Source organism: Homo sapiens, chromosome 2 (assembly GCF_000001405.40).
Source record: "Homo sapiens chromosome 2, GRCh38.p14 Primary Assembly".
Taxonomy (NCBI): Eukaryota; Metazoa; Chordata; class Mammalia; order Primates; family Hominidae; genus Homo; species Homo sapiens.
Window position 1 is genome coordinate 169,909,074 of NC_000002.12, and position 17,589 is coordinate 169,926,662.

Sequence of the window (17,589 nt, forward strand, 5' to 3'; positions counted from 1 at the left end):
CGGCCTCCCAAAGTGCTGGGATTACAGGCGTGAGCCACCACGCCCGGCCTTGATTGGTCCTTTTAAGGAATTTGTGGCTGGAACCACAGAGTAAACAAGTTGGAGTTGGAGAGATAGGCAGAGATCAGATTATTATTGCAGGTATTCGCAGATCATGTTAAGTACTCTTGGATTCAGTTTTAAGGAGAAGCCACTGAAGATTTTTAAGCAAGGGTTTAATGTGATCAGATTTACACTTAAAAGATCATTCTGTTCCTGGAGAAGACTGGATTTGAGCAGGAGTAGCGTGGGTGGGAAGCAGCAAGACCAGGAGTAAATAGACCAATTAAGAGGCTATGGTAAATTGATCTCACTTATATGTAGAATCTGAAAAAGTTGAGCTTATAGAAGTAGAGAGTAGAATGTTGGTTTCCAGAAGCTGGGGCTGAGGGAGTGGGAAATGGGGAGATTTTGACTAAAGGGTACAAAGTTTTAGCTAGGGAGGAGGAATAACTTTGAAATCTATTGCACAACATGGTGACTATAGTTAATAATAATGTATTTTACATTTCAGAATTGCTAAAGGAATAGATTTGTAATGCTCTCACTACAAAAAATGATAAATGTCTGAGGTGATGGATATGTTAATTAGCTTGATATACCCATCCCACAATGCATGTGTGTGTGTGTATATATATATATATATCTTGAAACATCACATTGTACCCCATAAATACATGTGTTTATTTTTTGTCAATTAAATAAAAACATGCTGTGACAATAGTCTAAACATGAAATTCAGGTAGCATATATTTGATATGTATATATTCAAAGTATATTTTGGATATTCAAGATGTATTTTTGAGGTAGAATCTACAGGCTTGGTGATGGATTGTACATTGTTGATGAGAGAGAGAGACTTTTGAGTAACTGTGTATGGAAGTGCTATTTACAAAGCTAGTAAAGACTGAGAGAATGTCAAGTTTAGAGAGATCAGAGTTAGCTTTAAATAGGTTAAGTTTGAGATGTCCGTGAAATGTCCAAGTAGAAATAGTGAATAGGCAGTTGGATATATAAGTCTCATGCTCAAAAAGTAAGTCTGGACTGAGGTTATACATTCTAGACCCTTCGGCATATAGAAGATATTTATCACCAAGGGATGGATGAGATTAAATAGGGAGAAAAGAGATGTGAACCCCGAAGAAAGAACTGACATTTAGATATTAAGGACAGGGAGAAGAGAAAAATCAGAAGAATGCCATGTCATGTATGTAAGCCCACGGAAGACCGAGCCTCAGTAAAGTGGGTTGATATGATATTGATATAAAAAGATCAATATTTTAGGAAGATTATTCTGACTACTGTGTTTAGGATGAATTTTAATTATGAGGCTGAGGTTATGTTTATCTCTTTGATAATGAAAAATCATTATTTCCGGGCAGTAGTTCATATTTCAGCTTTCAAGGCTAGAATTACAATGCAGTATGATTCACCTAATCTATGAAGTAAAGATAACAGAGAGAAAACAGGCTCCTGTTGTCCTGGCAGTATCTGAGAGAGTAACTTCTCAGTTATAGGAGCGTCTGGTTCCTAGATAAGACATTCTCTTCGTGAGCACTTACACTATGTGAGACATTGTTCTAGGCACTTTTCATATATTCTTATCTAACATTCATTGCATCTCCTATAAAGTACATGGCATCATTCTGTTCTTTCAGAGGTTAAATGACTTAAGTTCACATAGCTATAAGTAGACGCTGAATTTGAAAGCAAATTTATCTAATTTAAAAACCAATGCTATTTATCACTTTGCTGTTACTGTTTTTAAAGCCAGAATTTCCAAAGCTTTTTAGCTGCAGTGCTGTCAGGGTTTAGAAGTATAAACTAGAAGAAACACTATTATTTATAGGAAAAAATGTTATTTCTCTGTTTAAATTTTCTACTGTAAAATATAAAACTTAAGGATTAAGTAATTTAAAAGGAAACTTCACTTGATAAATTACTGTCTTTGTATGATTGCACTGAATGCTATTTGATTCTTGAAAACATTAAGGGCTAGTTAAAAAAAGTAATACTACCCAGATAGCTCAGTCAGTAGAGCATCATACTTTTAATGCTCGATTAACTAATGACATGAAGATTGGATAAGAGGATGACATGTTTCTAGAATTTTACTGATACTTGCTTTCTGAGGAGAAAAATAAGCTGCAAAATCTTCATCTGGTGGCAACTATAGGTTACTACAGACTTGATAGAAGATTAATGTGGTCTTGACTCTTCAGAGCACTTAACTATTTGTCAGACATAGTGTTAACCTATGATACAGAGCATTTTATGTACATCATTTCACTTGCCTCTTCAGAACAGTACTGGGAAGTAGGTTGTATTATGCTTATTTTTACATGTGGAGAAACTGAGACTCATAAAATTTAAGTAATTTGCTCAAGGTCATAAAACTAGTAAGTTAGCATGCATACTGACTTTTTTGGGGGTTGAGGGGTGGTAGTAGTGGGAAAATAGGAGAGAGACAATCAGAACATGATTATTAAATATGCTGTATTTGTGAATGGAATTGACTTGTCACCTTTTTAAAGAGTCTTAGTACCTACTTGTCAAATTGTTCTCCAGAAGGGTGGTACCAGTTTACACTTGCGCTAAGAGCATGTAATGGTACCTCATTGCCCAAATGCTTGATGAAATAGGAGAACTTTCGGTTTTAAAAGTTTATTTATCTGTGAGTTACCTGCTACTTTAGTTTGGTTGTGACAGATTATTTATGATAACTTATAAGTGCCATTAATTTGTTTTCAATGAGAGGTATGGAATAGAATGTATCAAATACTATTTTATAAAGACAAATCTCATATAGCATAGATTAAAACAGGATGAGAATGTTAGTAAGGTGACCAGGTAAGTGATTTCGGTCTGGATTGTGGCAATGGAAATAAGCATGAAGCTATATTATAATATCAAGCAAGAATTGACAGGACATGGAGATGAGTAAGGTGAAGGAGAAGTCAAGAATGAATGTGAGACTTTCAGCTTTTTAAAAAGGCATATTTATATAATTTACATAGGTAGCTGATGAGTTTAACTCACGTGGATTTGATGCTTTCTGCACTTACACATTATACGTGATGCCCCAAAATATCTGTTTTTAACTTAAAAAAGGAGATAAAATTCACCATTTAACCATTTTAAAGTGTATACTATTCAGTGGTTTATAGTGTATTCACAAAGTTTACCACTACTACCACTATCTAATTCCAGAGTATTTCCATCACCCCCAAAAGAAATTGCATACCTCCCAATTCCAACCTCCCCTCATCTCTTGGAAACCACTAATCTTCTTTCAACCTTTATAAATCTACCTAGTTTGGACATTTCATATAAATGGAATCCTATAATATGTGGCCTTTTGTGTCTGACTTCTTTCACTCAATGTAATGTTTTCAAGGTTCAGCTGTGTTGTAGCATGTATCAGTACTTCATTCCTTTGTCTGGCTAATATTTCATTGTATGGATATACAACATTTCATTTGTCCTTTAATCAATTGATAGATATTTGGGTTGATTCTACTTTTTGGCTGCTATGAATAATACTTCTGTGAATGTTTATATACATTTTTTGTGTGAACATATATTTTCAATTTTCTGGAAATATACATAGGAATGGAATTGCTTGGTCTTATGGTAACTCTATATTTAACTTACCAAAGAACTGCCAAGCTTTTTTTTTTCTTTTTGAGATAGGGTCTCACTGTGTTGCCCATGCTGGAGTGCAGTAGCATGATCATAGCTCATTGCATCCTTAAAATCCTGGGCTCAAGCAGCCCTTCCACCTCAGCCTCCCTCCCAAGTAGATAGGACTATAAATGCACGCCACCACTCTTGACTAATTTTAAAATTTTTTCGCAGAGACAGAGACTTGCTGTGTCCCAGCTAGTCTTGAACTCCTGGCCTCAAGTGATCCTTCTGACTTGGCCTCCCAAAGTGTTGCCATTATAGGCATGAGCCACTGTGCCCAGCTGCAAACAATTTTTCCAAGCAGCTGTACCATTTTACAGTCTCATCAGCAATATATGAGGATTCCAATTTCTCTACATCCTTCCTAACACTTTCTGTTTTATGTTTTTAAAATTACAGCCTCTCTAGTTGGTGTGAATTGGTATCTCATTGTGGCTTTGATTTGCATTTTCCTATGATGTTGAGCATCTTTGTATGTGCTTATTAGTCATTTGCGTATTTTCTTGGAAGAAATGTCTTTTTAAATCCTTTGCCTGTTTTTTTTTGTTTGTTTGTTTTTTGTTTTTTTTTTTGTTTTTGGTAAGCAAGCCTATCATTATTTCTATTTCTGTTTAATTTAGAACTCGCCTATTTTGGTGGATCTGTTTTACCACAAAACATTGTAGTTGTCTTTTACAGTACTTTTATTTCAAGTGGTACACACATCATTTCTTCTCCCAAATTCTGTTGTAAGTCAAGGTATTCACAGGTTACTTACAGTCCACATATGCTCTGCCCTTTCTTTTTAATTGTGTAAAATACATATAACATTTACCACTAACTATTTTTAGCTGTAAAATTCAGTGACTTGAAGTACATTTACAGAGTTGTACAACTGTCGCTACTATCCATGTCCAATACTTTTTTGTCAGCCCCAAAGAAACTCTGTACCCATTAAACAATGACATTAGGGAATTTATAATAAATTGGGGGGGGTGTCTCTTGAAATGGAGTCTGATTTAAATCTATTTAAAATCTATTTCTGCTTTCATTCATTTTTAGAAATGTATTGTAAAAAAGGAAGCGTATTGACTTACTTAATTTTCATATTTGTCACTGGTTGTTTATGAAGGGAGAGTTTCTTGAAATGGCAAATATAATCTTAAAATCTATACATTTTACCATTTTATATATACACAATGCATATAATTACATATAATTTAATGTTGAAAATATATGTTTATATATCATAAATTTATTATATATAACTTACTATTTTAGGAAACTCAAGAGTATACCCGAAATGTTGTTAGATATTGCCTTGAAGCTCTTCAAGACTGGTTTGATGCTATTAACTTCGTAGACGAGGTATGTATATTTTTGATGTATGTAAATTTTTTGATGTATGTAAAGACATTTAAGAAAAGTGTTAGATTTCATTTAATGTTGAAAATAATGAATACTTTTTCATAGGCGAGGGAAGGAAGTAATGAACATATTATTAGGCTTTGAAAAAGAAATCTAAAGGGGAGACTAGTTCTTTAGTTCTTTGACATTTAGGAGATTCTGGAGCGCACTAATATGTCTGCTTATTTCCTACAGAAGAGTGGCATGATTTGTTTTTCCATTATTAAGTATATGTGTCTCATTATTTCTCAGGGTGAAATAGTTTCAGTTGAATATATAAAAGTGACAATGCAAATGTGAATAGGATAGGGGAGATTAATGAAAAGGGTATCATACAACTCTATTAATTGGACAGTGTTCTGTTTGTCAGAGTAGGAAAAGATGGACTTGAACAAAGGTGATTAGTGTTAATAATGAGAAGAGCTGGCACAGGACATGGTATGTATGAATTGAACAAGTAATTGCTTTTATTCGTTGGCCAAGTTTACCATCAGAAGCTCCTTTTATTCCTCCTATGAAGTAGGGTCAGAATATGCCATATGCAAAAGAAAGACCATGTTTCAGACAGCTCACCCCCACTTTATCTGATTTCTGAACCTGGGCACACAGAACCGTTGCTGTGTGTTTGTGTGTATATGTGGAGGGCAGGCAAATTTTATCTCTTGTGTGTGTGTGTGTGTGTGTGTGTTTTTTTTCCTTTCTGTTTAAAAAATTTTTGACACAATCACAAATTTATTGAAAAGTTGAGTGGACAAAGAACTTTCTATTCTTGAACGATTTGAGAGTTCAGTTGTTGACTTGATGCCTCACTACCCCCATGCATTTCAGTGTTTCCTACAAACAAGGATATTTTCTTATATAGCCAGAATGCAACTATAAAAATCATTAATATATTATTAACATTTAATTCTTATAACTCATTCATGTTTTACCAGTTGTCCCATGATACCTTTTATAGAAAAAGGATCTGGTTCAGAATTGCATTTTGTTATCATGTCTCTAATCTCCTTCTGGGACATTTTCCCAGTCTTTCTTTGCATTTTAGGACAGTGACTTTTTTTTTTTTGAGACAGAGTCTCACTCTGTTCCCCAGGCTGGAGTGCAGTGGCACAATCTTGGCTCACTGCAACCTCTGCCTCCCAGGTTCAAACAATTCTCCTGTCTCAGCCTCCCGAGTAGCTGGGATTACAGGTATGTGCCACCGCACCCAGCTGATTTTTTTGTATTTTTAGTAGGGACGGAGTTTCACCATGTTGGCCAGGCTGGCCTGGAACTCCTGACCTCAGGTGATTCACCCGCCTCAGCCTCCCAAAGTGCTGGGATTACCAGTGTGAGCCACTGCTCCTGGCCAGGACAGTGACATTTTGAAGAATGCCTCTCAATTTGGGTTTGTTTCATGATTAGATTCAGATTATGTATCTTTTTCAGGAATATTATGGAAGTGATGTAGTCTTTTCATTGCATCCTATCTGGTAGTTTGTGATTTGTGTTCTTTACTAATGATGTTCCCTTTGATCACTTGATTAGGGTGGTACCTGCTAGACTCCTTCATCATAAAATTACCCTTTTTCTCATTTAATTAATAAAGTATTTTGTGATCCAGTTTTCAATTCATTCATTTATTTTTGTCTCTAGAGATTCATAGTTTCTATTTTATTCAATGGGTTATAAGCTATTGCTGTTACTATTTGATGCTCAGATTATTTCAGATTTGGCCAATGAGAGCCCCTTTAAGCTTAGTTTCTGCTTGTCCCATCATTTTTTGAGAACTTCCATGTTTTCTGGCCCATCAGGATGTTTCAGACTCATAGTTTCCCCACCCATTTCTGGAATCAATCATTTCTTTATGGATCCCTGGTTACTTTTAGTGTGGAACAGTATTTAGAAAAATCTAGGTGCTGCTTGTGCTCATTGCTATTGGGGTATCACTGCTCCCAGGACTTCACAGTGAACAGAGGAGTATATGTACATAAGTACATATACATATTTGCATCTATATTTTTCTGTCTATAGTGAAAGCTGTGAGTTCAAACTGATATTTTTAATTCCAGTTTAACACTGTAGGAGTTATTCTAGTTTTCTTCAACAGTGGGAAACCTGGCTTCCATTATCTTTAATATATTTACTTATCTATAAATACATATTTATGTATGACCAATCTCATATATAAATATGAGAAGCAACTCTCATCTCAGTTGCCTCTCTTTCCCCTGCATGGATGCCCTCTTTTCTCTGCTTTGACTCTGAGTCCTCATCCTATTCCCCCTTTTCCCACACGTGGACACCCTCCTCATCCTGCCTGGGCTCTGACCCCCACTTTGGACTGCCCTTCTGTGGAGAAGCCCTGTTCACCCTCTTCGTGCTTGAAACTCCCGCACCAGACTCCTCCTCTTTTTGGATGCCCTCCTCATTCTGCCTTGGCTCTGATGCCTCCTGCTCTTTGCACATGTGGATAATCTCCTTACCCAGCTTGGATTTTGATTCCCTATTCCAGGCTGGCCCCCTGTATTGTTGCCCTCCTTACCTCAGTCAGGCTTTGATTCCCCATGCCAGGTCAGTCCCCATTTGGAGGCCCTCCTCACCCAGATTGGCTCTGATGCTCTACACTGGTCTGCCCTGCTGTGTGGGTCCCCTCTGACTCTGTCCACATCTGATGCCCTATGCTAGGCCACACCCCCTATGCCTGAGCAACCCCCAACATCTCAACCCCTCAATTACCCCAGCAGTTGCCCTCCTCAGTCTGAGCTCTGACTTCCCTCTCAGTTTCCTAACCTTTAGATGCTTATTTTTACCCTGCTCCCTCTCTTTACCTCCCAGTGGCTTTAGGAATGGTTTAGGAAGGGAAGAACCCTTTGTTATCTTTAATTCTAATCCCTCCTGCCCTGAATTAATTTTTCTTTACCCCTCATTACCCCTCCCCCAACATTTGTGTCAGCTCTTAGCCTTCAACCTAGATTTTGTACATTTGGATTTTGATTCTGCCCTGACCAACTCACCTTGATTCTTTGCCTTGTCTAATTGTTGGTCTTTAGGCTTAAATTTTGTTTATGCAAATGGTAATGAGTCAGTCTTCAGAGAGAACATTGTCCAGCCTTCACGGAGCACCATCCCACTTCCAACCTGCTTCCCTCCTTCTTCACCCTGTCCAGGGTCAGTCCCTCAGCTGGAGCTTTAACTGAAGCTTTTCTCAATCCAGTTTTCTTTGGTATTTGAAACTTCAGGAATTATTGTTGAAATAGTAGCATCAGTAAGACAACAGTAAGATTGAACTGGGAGAAAATTATACACAAGAAAATGATATTTAAATTAATCATGCTTGGAATCATGAGTGTAGTGAAGGACAGTTAGAATCATGTATGACATACAGAGCAGCTGAACTCTAGGAAATAGTGTATCTGTTTTTCACACAGAAATATTTTTAGGAAGATATTGAATGTTATCAAAAATTTAAATGGATTCTTAAAAGAAGAGAAATTAAGTATAGAACTTAAAGAATCAAATAATATGTTATTTATTTATTTATTATTTTTTTCGAGATGGAGTTTTTGCTCTTGTTGCCCAGGCTGGGGTGCAATGACACAATCTTGGCTCACTGCAACCTCCACCTCCTGGGTTCAAGCGATTCTCCTGCCTCAGTCTCCTGAGTAACTGGGACTACAGGCGTGTGCCACCACACCCAGCTAATTTTTGTATTTTTAGTAGAGATGGGGTTTCACCATGTCAGCCAGGCTGGTCTCGAACTTTTGACCTCAGGTGATCCACCCACCTCGGCCTCCCAAAGTTCTGGGATGACAGGCACGAGCCACTGTGCTGGGTCCATGTCATGTTTTTATATGGTGCTTAAAGGTTTTATTATTCCTCCTTTTTTTGTCATTGGGAAGTGGAGATGCAGAGATATTAAATGACTTGCCTATTGTTATGTAGCAAGTTATGGTACTTCTGGGTCCACAGTCCTCATTTTGGAACTCCTTGTCTGGTAATGTTTTAACTGTATTGGTTGTTGGCAGTGGAAAGAGCTTTAACGTAGGCAGATCTGAGTGTAAATTGTGGCTCTGCCATAATTCAACTAGCTATGTGGCCTTGGACAGATTTTTTTAAGTTTAATTGTTAATATATTTTTACTTTTTTTTTTTTTTTAACACTGCTGAGCCTATTTCCTCATCTATTGAAGGTGATAATATTAACCAGTGAGGATTGACTAAGAGGCACATATTACATGTGTGATAAACATTAGTTCTTCTTCCATCCTTGTGGGTGGATGTCAGAAGTTATTATGGTAATCTAGTACAAATCAAGCAAATAATTTTTTTTTTTTTTTTTAAGACAGGGTCTCGCCATCTTGCCCAGGCTGGTCTTGAACACTTGGGCTCAGGTGATTCTCCTGCCTGGGCCTCCCAAAGTGTTGAGATTACAGGTGTGAGCCATTGTGCCTGGCCAATAATATGTTTTGAACTGAAGTAAGCCAGATCAAACAATCATATAGAAACAGGAGATGGAATACATTTTCCTATAAGATAGGCCATTTAAGAGTTCTTAAAAACATGAATATCATGTAGGGCAACAATTGTGAGTTTGTAGCAGGGTGGGTTTGGCTAGAGTCCTCTGGTAAGAGGAAAGTAGAACGTGCATTCATCCAGCAAATATTTATTGAATGTTTACTATGTTGTAAACATAGGGGATACAGTGATAAAACAGTCCCTGACTTAAGGAAGTGGAAAACAAGTATATGGTTAATTTGATTCCTGTGCTTCTGTAAAGTTGTGACCAGGTGCTATGTGGGACCATAAAAGGGAGCACCTGATTTAGCCTGAAGAACCCAAGAAAAGCTTCTTAGTAGAAGTGTCAACTGAGCAAAGTCTTAAAGATACAGTAATCCAGTGGGAGAAGGGATATATAGCATTTGCGGCAGGGGGAATAGTGTATACAAAGGCACAGAAGCTTAGTAAGTTAGGGATACTACCTATGGTGCATGAATTTATGTGACAGAAGATGAGGCTGGAGAGGTAAGCTCTTTCTTCTTAGGAATTGGAAGGTTATCAGGAGGCTAAAACCATAGGGAGTCATTAAAAGATTGTGAGTGGAAGAAGTTCAAGGTTAAATTAATGTTTAAGTAAGACTACCTTCTGGCAGCATATAGAGGGTAATAGGAGATATGTTAGTCAAGGTTCTTTTAATGCAAGGGGAAAAAATAATTTAAAGCAGCCTGAGTTAAAGAAGCAGTAATTTCATGTCTAAAACACCAAAAGCAATGGCAACAAAAGCCAAAATTGACAAATGGGATCTAATTAAACTAAAGAGCTTCTGGACAGCAGAAGAAACTACGATCAGAGTGAACAGGCAACCTACAGAATGGGAGAAAATTTTTGCAGTCTACTCATCTGACAAAGGTTCATCCAGAATCTACAATGAACTTAAACAAACTTACAAGAAAAAAGCAAACAACCCCATCAAAAAGTGGGCAAAGGATATGAACAGACACTTCTCAAAAGAAGACATTTATGCAGCCAAAAGACACATGAAAAAATGCTCATCATCACTGGCCATCAGAGAAATGCAAATCAAAACCACAATTAGATACCATCTCACACCAGTTAGAATGGCAGTCATTAAAAAGTCAGGAAACAACAGGTGCTGGAGAGGATGTGGAGAAATAGGAACACTTTTACACTGTTGGTGGGACTGTAAACTAGTTCAACCATTGTGGAAGTCAGTGTGGCGATTCCTCAGGGATCTAGAACTAGAAATACCATTTGACCCAGCCATCCCATGACTGGGTATATACCCAAAGGGTTATAAATCATGCCTCTATAAAGACACATGCACACGTATGTTTATAGCGGCACTATTCACAATAGCAAAGACTTGGAACCAACCCAAATGTCCAACAATGATAGAGTGGATTAAGAAAACGTGGCAGATATACGCCATGGAATATGTGTATATTCCAGCCATAAAAAATGATGAGTTCATGTCCTTTGTAGGGACATGGATGAAGCTAGAAACCATCATTCTCAGCAAACTATTGCAAGGACAAAAAACCAAACACCGCATGTTCTCACTCATAGGTGGGAATTGAACAATGAGAACACACGGACACAGGAAGGGGAACGTCACACACCAGGGCCTGTTGTGGGGTGGAGGGAGGGGAGAGGGACAGCATTAGGAGATATACCTAATGTTAAATGAAGAGTTAATGGGTGCAGCACACCAACATGGCACATGTATACATATGTAACAAACCTGCACATTGTGCACATGTACCCTAAAACTTAAAGTATAATAATAAAGTAAAAGCAGTAATTTATTATGAATACATAGGGATGTCTCAGGGTTAGGGCACCTGGACCTCAGGGATGGACTGGAAATCTGAATAGGAACTCCTGTCGCCTGCCTTTGCTTTGCCCTGAGTGTATGTGCCTCATTTTTTCTTCCCTTCCTGTGCTTTGCCTATGTGGTGAAATACTGCCTTTTTATAGTTGCCTAACGTTACCATTTCAGGCATACTCCCAGATTGTCTGTGAATGTCTCTGAATCCTAGTTCAAATTTTTTAAGAGAGAAAGTCATTGCTCAAGCGGGGGTAGATGTCCCCTGCCCTGCCTCCAGTCAAGTATGGCTACTATAAACTTGACTGTCAGGCCCCAATCTCTGTGTGTGGTTGAGGTGGCAGAGAGTGGGAGAGGGAGACACATTCTGAGAAGATGGGAAGGTTGTGAGCTAGGCAGACACCACAAAAGGTGTTTTATGCAGGATAATGGTAGAAGTAGGGGTTATCACTAAAATCTAGGCACTAGGTGTTGAGGGCCTGAGCTAAGGTTAGTTAGGTGCAGTGTAGACAGAAAGAAGAAAGTGGATTTAAGAGATACTTAAAAAATAAGTAAACATAATTTGATACCTCATCAAATATAGGAGGCTTGTGAGAAGGAGGAAGTCTACATTTCATATTTAAATTACTGGGAATCTGGAGAAGAAATATTGAGGAGGATTGAGTTTTATGGCAAAGATACTGAGTTTGGTTTGGACACGCTGTATTTGTGGTCCTATGGAATATTAAGTATTGCTGTTCAGTAGACACCTGAATGTAAGATTTGGAGTTCAGGAGTGAGATTTCCACTGAGATTTGGAACTCATCTGGGTAGAGTTAGCAGCTGAAGCTGTGAATCTGGATAAATTCACATAGAAGACTATAGAGTGAAGAATGGAATCCAAGGACTCTCAGTATATATAGGAATAGAAGAAGTGCTTATCAAGTAGCCAGTCTGTGACATTAGACAAGGAAGGAATATGGACTTTAACGTTATGGAGAATGTGAACATAGGATATGCTAAAGCCCTGAAAGATAAAATAGGGTCCATGGCTTACTAGTTAATAGCAATATGTACTGGGTACTGTGCTGTTTTACTTATTTCTCGCAGCTACTAAACTCTTTATTATTCCTACTTTAAGGATCAGACAACTTAGGCACAGAGAGGTAACTTGCCCATAGTTTTACAGCTGGGTGGTAGAACCAGGATTCTGCACTTAGGAAGCAGGCACAGTGGTTCACGCCTTTGGTCCCAGCACTTTGGGAGGCCGAGGCAGGTGGATCACTTGAGGTCAGGTGTTTGAGACCAGCCTGGGCAACATGGTGAAACCCTGTCTCTACTAAAAATACAAAAATTAGCCGGTGTGGTAATACATGCCTGTAGTCCCAGCTACTCAGGAGGCTGAGGCAGGAGAATTGCTTGAACCCGGGAGGCAGAGGTTGCAGTGAGCTGAGATCGCGCCACCGTACTCCAGTCTGGGGGACAGTGCGAGACTCAAAAAAAGGGTCTGCACCTAGGCTGGGCCTGGTGGTTCACGTCTATAATTCCAATCCTTTGGGAGGCTGAGGCGGGCAGATTGCATGAGCCCAGGAGTTCGAGAGCAGTCTGGGCAACATGGCAAAAACCCTGTCTCTACCAAAAACAGAAATTAGCCAGGCATGGTGGTGTGTGTCTGTAGTCCCAGCTGCTCAGGGGGCCGAGGAGGGAGGATGACTTGAGCCCGGGAGGTGGAGGTTGCAGCGAACTGTGATCGTGCCACCATACTCCACCCTGGGCCACAGAGTGAGACCCTGTCTATTTAAAAAAAAAAAAAAAAAAAGAGTCTGCACTTATCCACTGTGCTTAGTGCCTCAAAGGAAATTGAGGGAGATTCTGACTTAGCTAGTTAGTGTAGAATATGTTACTAAGGCGATTATGGTAATGGAGGGCAAACTTTTTAAAATTTTATTTTTAATTGTGGTAAAATACACAGAAAACATAAAATTCACTATCTTAATCATTTTTAAGTGTATAGTTCAGTAGTGTTATGTGTATTTGTATTGTCGTGCAGCCAATCTCCATAACTTTTTTATCTCATAAAATTGAAACTATACTCATTAAATAGCTACTCCCCATTTCCTCTTCCCCCAGCTTCTGGCAACCACCATTCTACTTTGTATCTCTACGAATTTGGCTGCTCTAAGAACCTCATATAGGTGGAATCATATAGTTACTGTCTTTTTGTGACTGGCTTATTTTACTTAGCATAATATCCCGAAGGTTTATTCATGTTACAGAACATTGTTAGACTTTCCTTTCTTTTTATGGAGGGCAAACTTTTATTTATTAGAACAAATTTTTATAGCCTTTACATATTGAAGAGGATATTATTATCTTACTGGTTTTGAAAAAAATAATTATTTCAGGGATGGTGACATATTTAGACTCCTTATAACCTCTATAATGTAAATTATATACATTAGCATAATTATCTGAATGTCCGGGATAAACATTTTTAACAAGAGAATATTTAATAAGAACTTAAAAAGCATTAAAAACAAACAATACCTTTTCAGTTCTTAACTCATTTGTTTAAGAAGGACAGCTGTGGTGTATTTTTGCCCTGTAGTGATTTTGTGATCCATGGGATTCACAGATTTAAAATACAGTTTTTGTAATATTTACAGGAATGCCTAAGGTCATTCACATATTTTTTATGAAGTTTTGTTATGGAGGCTGGTGCGTTTGGTACTGTTTGGAAGCATCTTATCTAACTGGTGAAGGAATCTAACGATGCCCTGCATTTATACCTCTGTTTAGGGATGTGGTCAGAGTCTTCTTACAGTTTTGAATATGACAGTGGAGTCCAGATTAGCTCCCCAGTTCACTACTTTTGAACTTTAGGAAGTTAGTTAAGTTTTCTAAGTTTGAATTTTGCTACTTGTAGAATGAGAATATTAGTAGCTCCTACCCCATAGCATTCTTCTGAGGATTAAATGTGGTAATGTGAATAAAGTGCTTAGCATGGTGACTGGCACATAGGAAGTGTTCAATGAATGTTATATGTGACTGTTATTACTGTCATGATGTTTGGTATACATGCGTTTGAAGAGTCCCAAATGGTCTACTGTAGCTGGAAATCCATTCCATCCCTTGTTTTAATAATAATTATTTGCTTTAGCTGAATTGAATTTAGGAAATATTAATCTGTACTGGATGCTTCAGAGGATTCAAAGTTGAGTAGAATACAATTTCTGCCTTCAAGAAACTTATACTTAAGTGTTTAAAATGGAAAAATTTTATCTATAGTGATTTTGGAATCTGCATCTTCTAAAATGTTAAGTTTTGAACTAAAAGTATAGGAATAAATCCAGGTGAGAGTATGGTTTAAACATTTTACAACCATCTTAAAATTTCTATAAAATAGTCTTTGACTTGTGCATTTTGTTTGTTTATTCCAGCCAGCACCTAACCAAGTCACTTTTCATCTGCCACTACATCGTTACTATGCTATGTTTTTGAGTAAGGTAAGACTGTCATTAAACAATTCTGTTCTTTTTTTTTTAATTTTCAGAAATAAGAATTGAATTAGTAACTTTTTTATTGTAATTTTTAGGCTGTGAAATGTCAAGAACTAGATTTGGATTCTGTTTTACCAGATCAGGAAATGTTAATGAAACTAATGATTCACCCACTCCAAATTCAAGTATGTATTCAGGCATTTAAAAAGTTTTGAAGTGGATTCCTTGTTTAAGTGATTCTTCCTTTATTTATATGCCTTTCATTGTTATTATAGCTGAGATGTTTGAAAACTTTTTTTAAAAAGTTGTTATTGTATTTTTGCTAGATTATGTTTAGGTATTTTTCATTTTATGAGATTTACTTTTTAGTTTTACTTTTTCCAGGAATTCTTTTCATGATATTTGCTTATGGGGTGGTATTTAACATACTATATAGCACTGTTTTGGGAGTCAGGAGATCCAAAAGATTCTAGCCTTGGTGCTACCACTGTTTTATTTTCCGCAAGGTTTAAGGTAATTCACCTCCTTGATTCTCAGTTTCCCTATCTGTATAGTGAGAGGAGAAAGAGGAGAGAAGAATTAGCTTATATAAGCACTGTGATTTCTTTTAATACCAGCAATGTAATTTGACAGGCCAGCTTTTTATATACATTAGAGGGACTTGCACTTCCATTTGTTTTTCCTGGCAATTTTAGATTTGTTAATTATTATAATATTGAACTTGAACTCTGGGTGTTAGGAAACATAAAATTATGACTGCTTGAAGCCAGGTGTGGTGGCTCACGCCTGTAATTCCAGCACTTTGGGAGGCCAAGGCGGGCAGATCACGAGGTCAAGAAATCGAGACCATCCTGGCCAACATGGTGAAACCTTGTCTCTACTGAATATACAAAAATTAGCTGGGCATGGTGGCGTGCACCTGTAGTCCCAGCTACTCGGGAGGCTGAGGCAAGAAGAATTGCTTGAACCTGGGAGACAGAGGTTGCAGTGGGCCAAGATCGCGCCACTGCACTCCAGTCTGGCGACAGAGTGAGATTCTGTTTCAAAAAAAACAAAAAAAATGATGACTGCCTAGTTTTAGTTGACACTGGACATAAATACATGAAGAATTAAATACTGATGTAGTGAGAACATTTATTCTAACCTCCAATATTTGGAAAATTAGCAGTATAGATTTAAGATTGAGTTAGGGTGAATTAAAGATGTAGAATGTATTCATTGACTTTGAACAGTTGGTTTTATTTTATGCTTATTCTAGTGTCTTTCTTTAAACATGTATATTAGGATTGTTGTTGTTGTTACTTAGGGTTTTCTTGAGGGAGAAATAGAGTGAAACATAAGCATTGATTTCTTATGAAAGATGTCAGTGAAAATCATCATAAATGTATCCAGAGGCCAACATGGAAAACCAACTCATTTGTTTAAACTCTAAAAAAGTGGCTATGTAAAAACATAATTATTGTTAAAAAAAATGTAAAAATGTATATTTCAACTGATTATCTTTAACATTGGACAGAATATCGGGCTTATACTATGATCACATCATTAAATATTTTGAAATGGTTATTTATAATATTTTGTAAAGATTGCATTTAGATAATTTATTCTTTGTCCAATTTACTTTTATTAGGCAAGTCTTGCAGAAATCCACAGCAATATGTGGGTAAGAAATGGTCTGCAAATCAAAGGACAAGCCATGACGTATGTCCAGTCTCATTTCTGTAATTCCATGATTGATCCTGACATTTACCTGTTACAGGTAAGCCAGCTAGATAATGCAGATATACTTTAGAAGTGTCTCATTTGTACCCAAGGGATTTTAATTTATAGAGGTGACTGCGTGATGACATGGAGAGGCCAATGCCATTGAAAGAATAATTTTTTACTTACATTTCCCAGGAGAAGAGGCATACCACCCAACACAAGGCTACAAGGAAAGCACCAGATTTTGGTCAAGAGGCAGAAAGGAGTGAGGGGAGAGCCTAGGCCAGAGCCTTTATTGGGGTTTCTGCAGGAAAGGCAAGGAAAGGCAAGGCAGGATTGGCTAATTTGAATAATTCCAGCAGGCTTTGAGGCATAGGGGCTGTATCTGGCTCTGCGGTACCTGGCCCTGGGTTGATTTAGGGGAGGGGAAATACTGGGTTGATGTGTGAGAGTTAGATAAAGACAGTGGTTGGCTTGCATGACAGGCATTTTCCCAAGTAAGTTGTTTAGTATGTTCAGGAATTAACTGGCTCTGGGAGGGACTATCTGTCTTCAGGTCTGTAATGCCCCTCAAGATGTCAAAACATCATAATATACAGAAAATAAAAATCATAGCCAGGCGTGGTGGCTCATGCCTGTTATCCCAGCACTCTGGGAGGCCAAGGCAGGCAGATCACTTGAGGCCAGGAGTTTGAGACCAGCCTGGCCAACACGTCGAAACCCTGTCTCTACTAAAAATACAAAAATTAGGCAGGTGTGGTGGCACACACCTGTAAATCCCAGCTACTCGGGAGACTGGGGGATGAGAATTGCTTGAGCCTGGGAGGCAGAGGTGGAGGTTGCAGTGAGCTGAGGTTGCACCAGCTTGGGTGAGAGTGAGACTCTGTCTCAAAAACAAAAAACAAAAAACAAAAAACAAAAAAAAGTATAGAAAAACATGATTAATAGAAGAAGGAAAACTGAATATTGA

The 17,589-nt window shown here is 37.8% G+C and overlaps 1 protein-coding gene across 1 annotated transcript in view; it reads left to right on the plus strand.

The window, feature by feature from the left end:
- UBR3 (ubiquitin protein ligase E3 component n-recognin 3) overlaps positions 1-17,589 on the plus strand; it is a 256,678-nt gene that overhangs the window by 81,620 nt on the left and 157,469 nt on the right. Inside the window, exons 11-14 of the mRNA NM_172070.4 lie at positions 4,987-5,073; positions 14,856-14,921; positions 15,011-15,100; positions 16,546-16,674. Of these exons, the coding sequence (NP_742067.3) occupies positions 4,987-5,073; positions 14,856-14,921; positions 15,011-15,100; positions 16,546-16,674 (372 nt within the window). The remainder of the gene's footprint in view (positions 1-4,986; positions 5,074-14,855; positions 14,922-15,010; positions 15,101-16,545; positions 16,675-17,589) is intronic.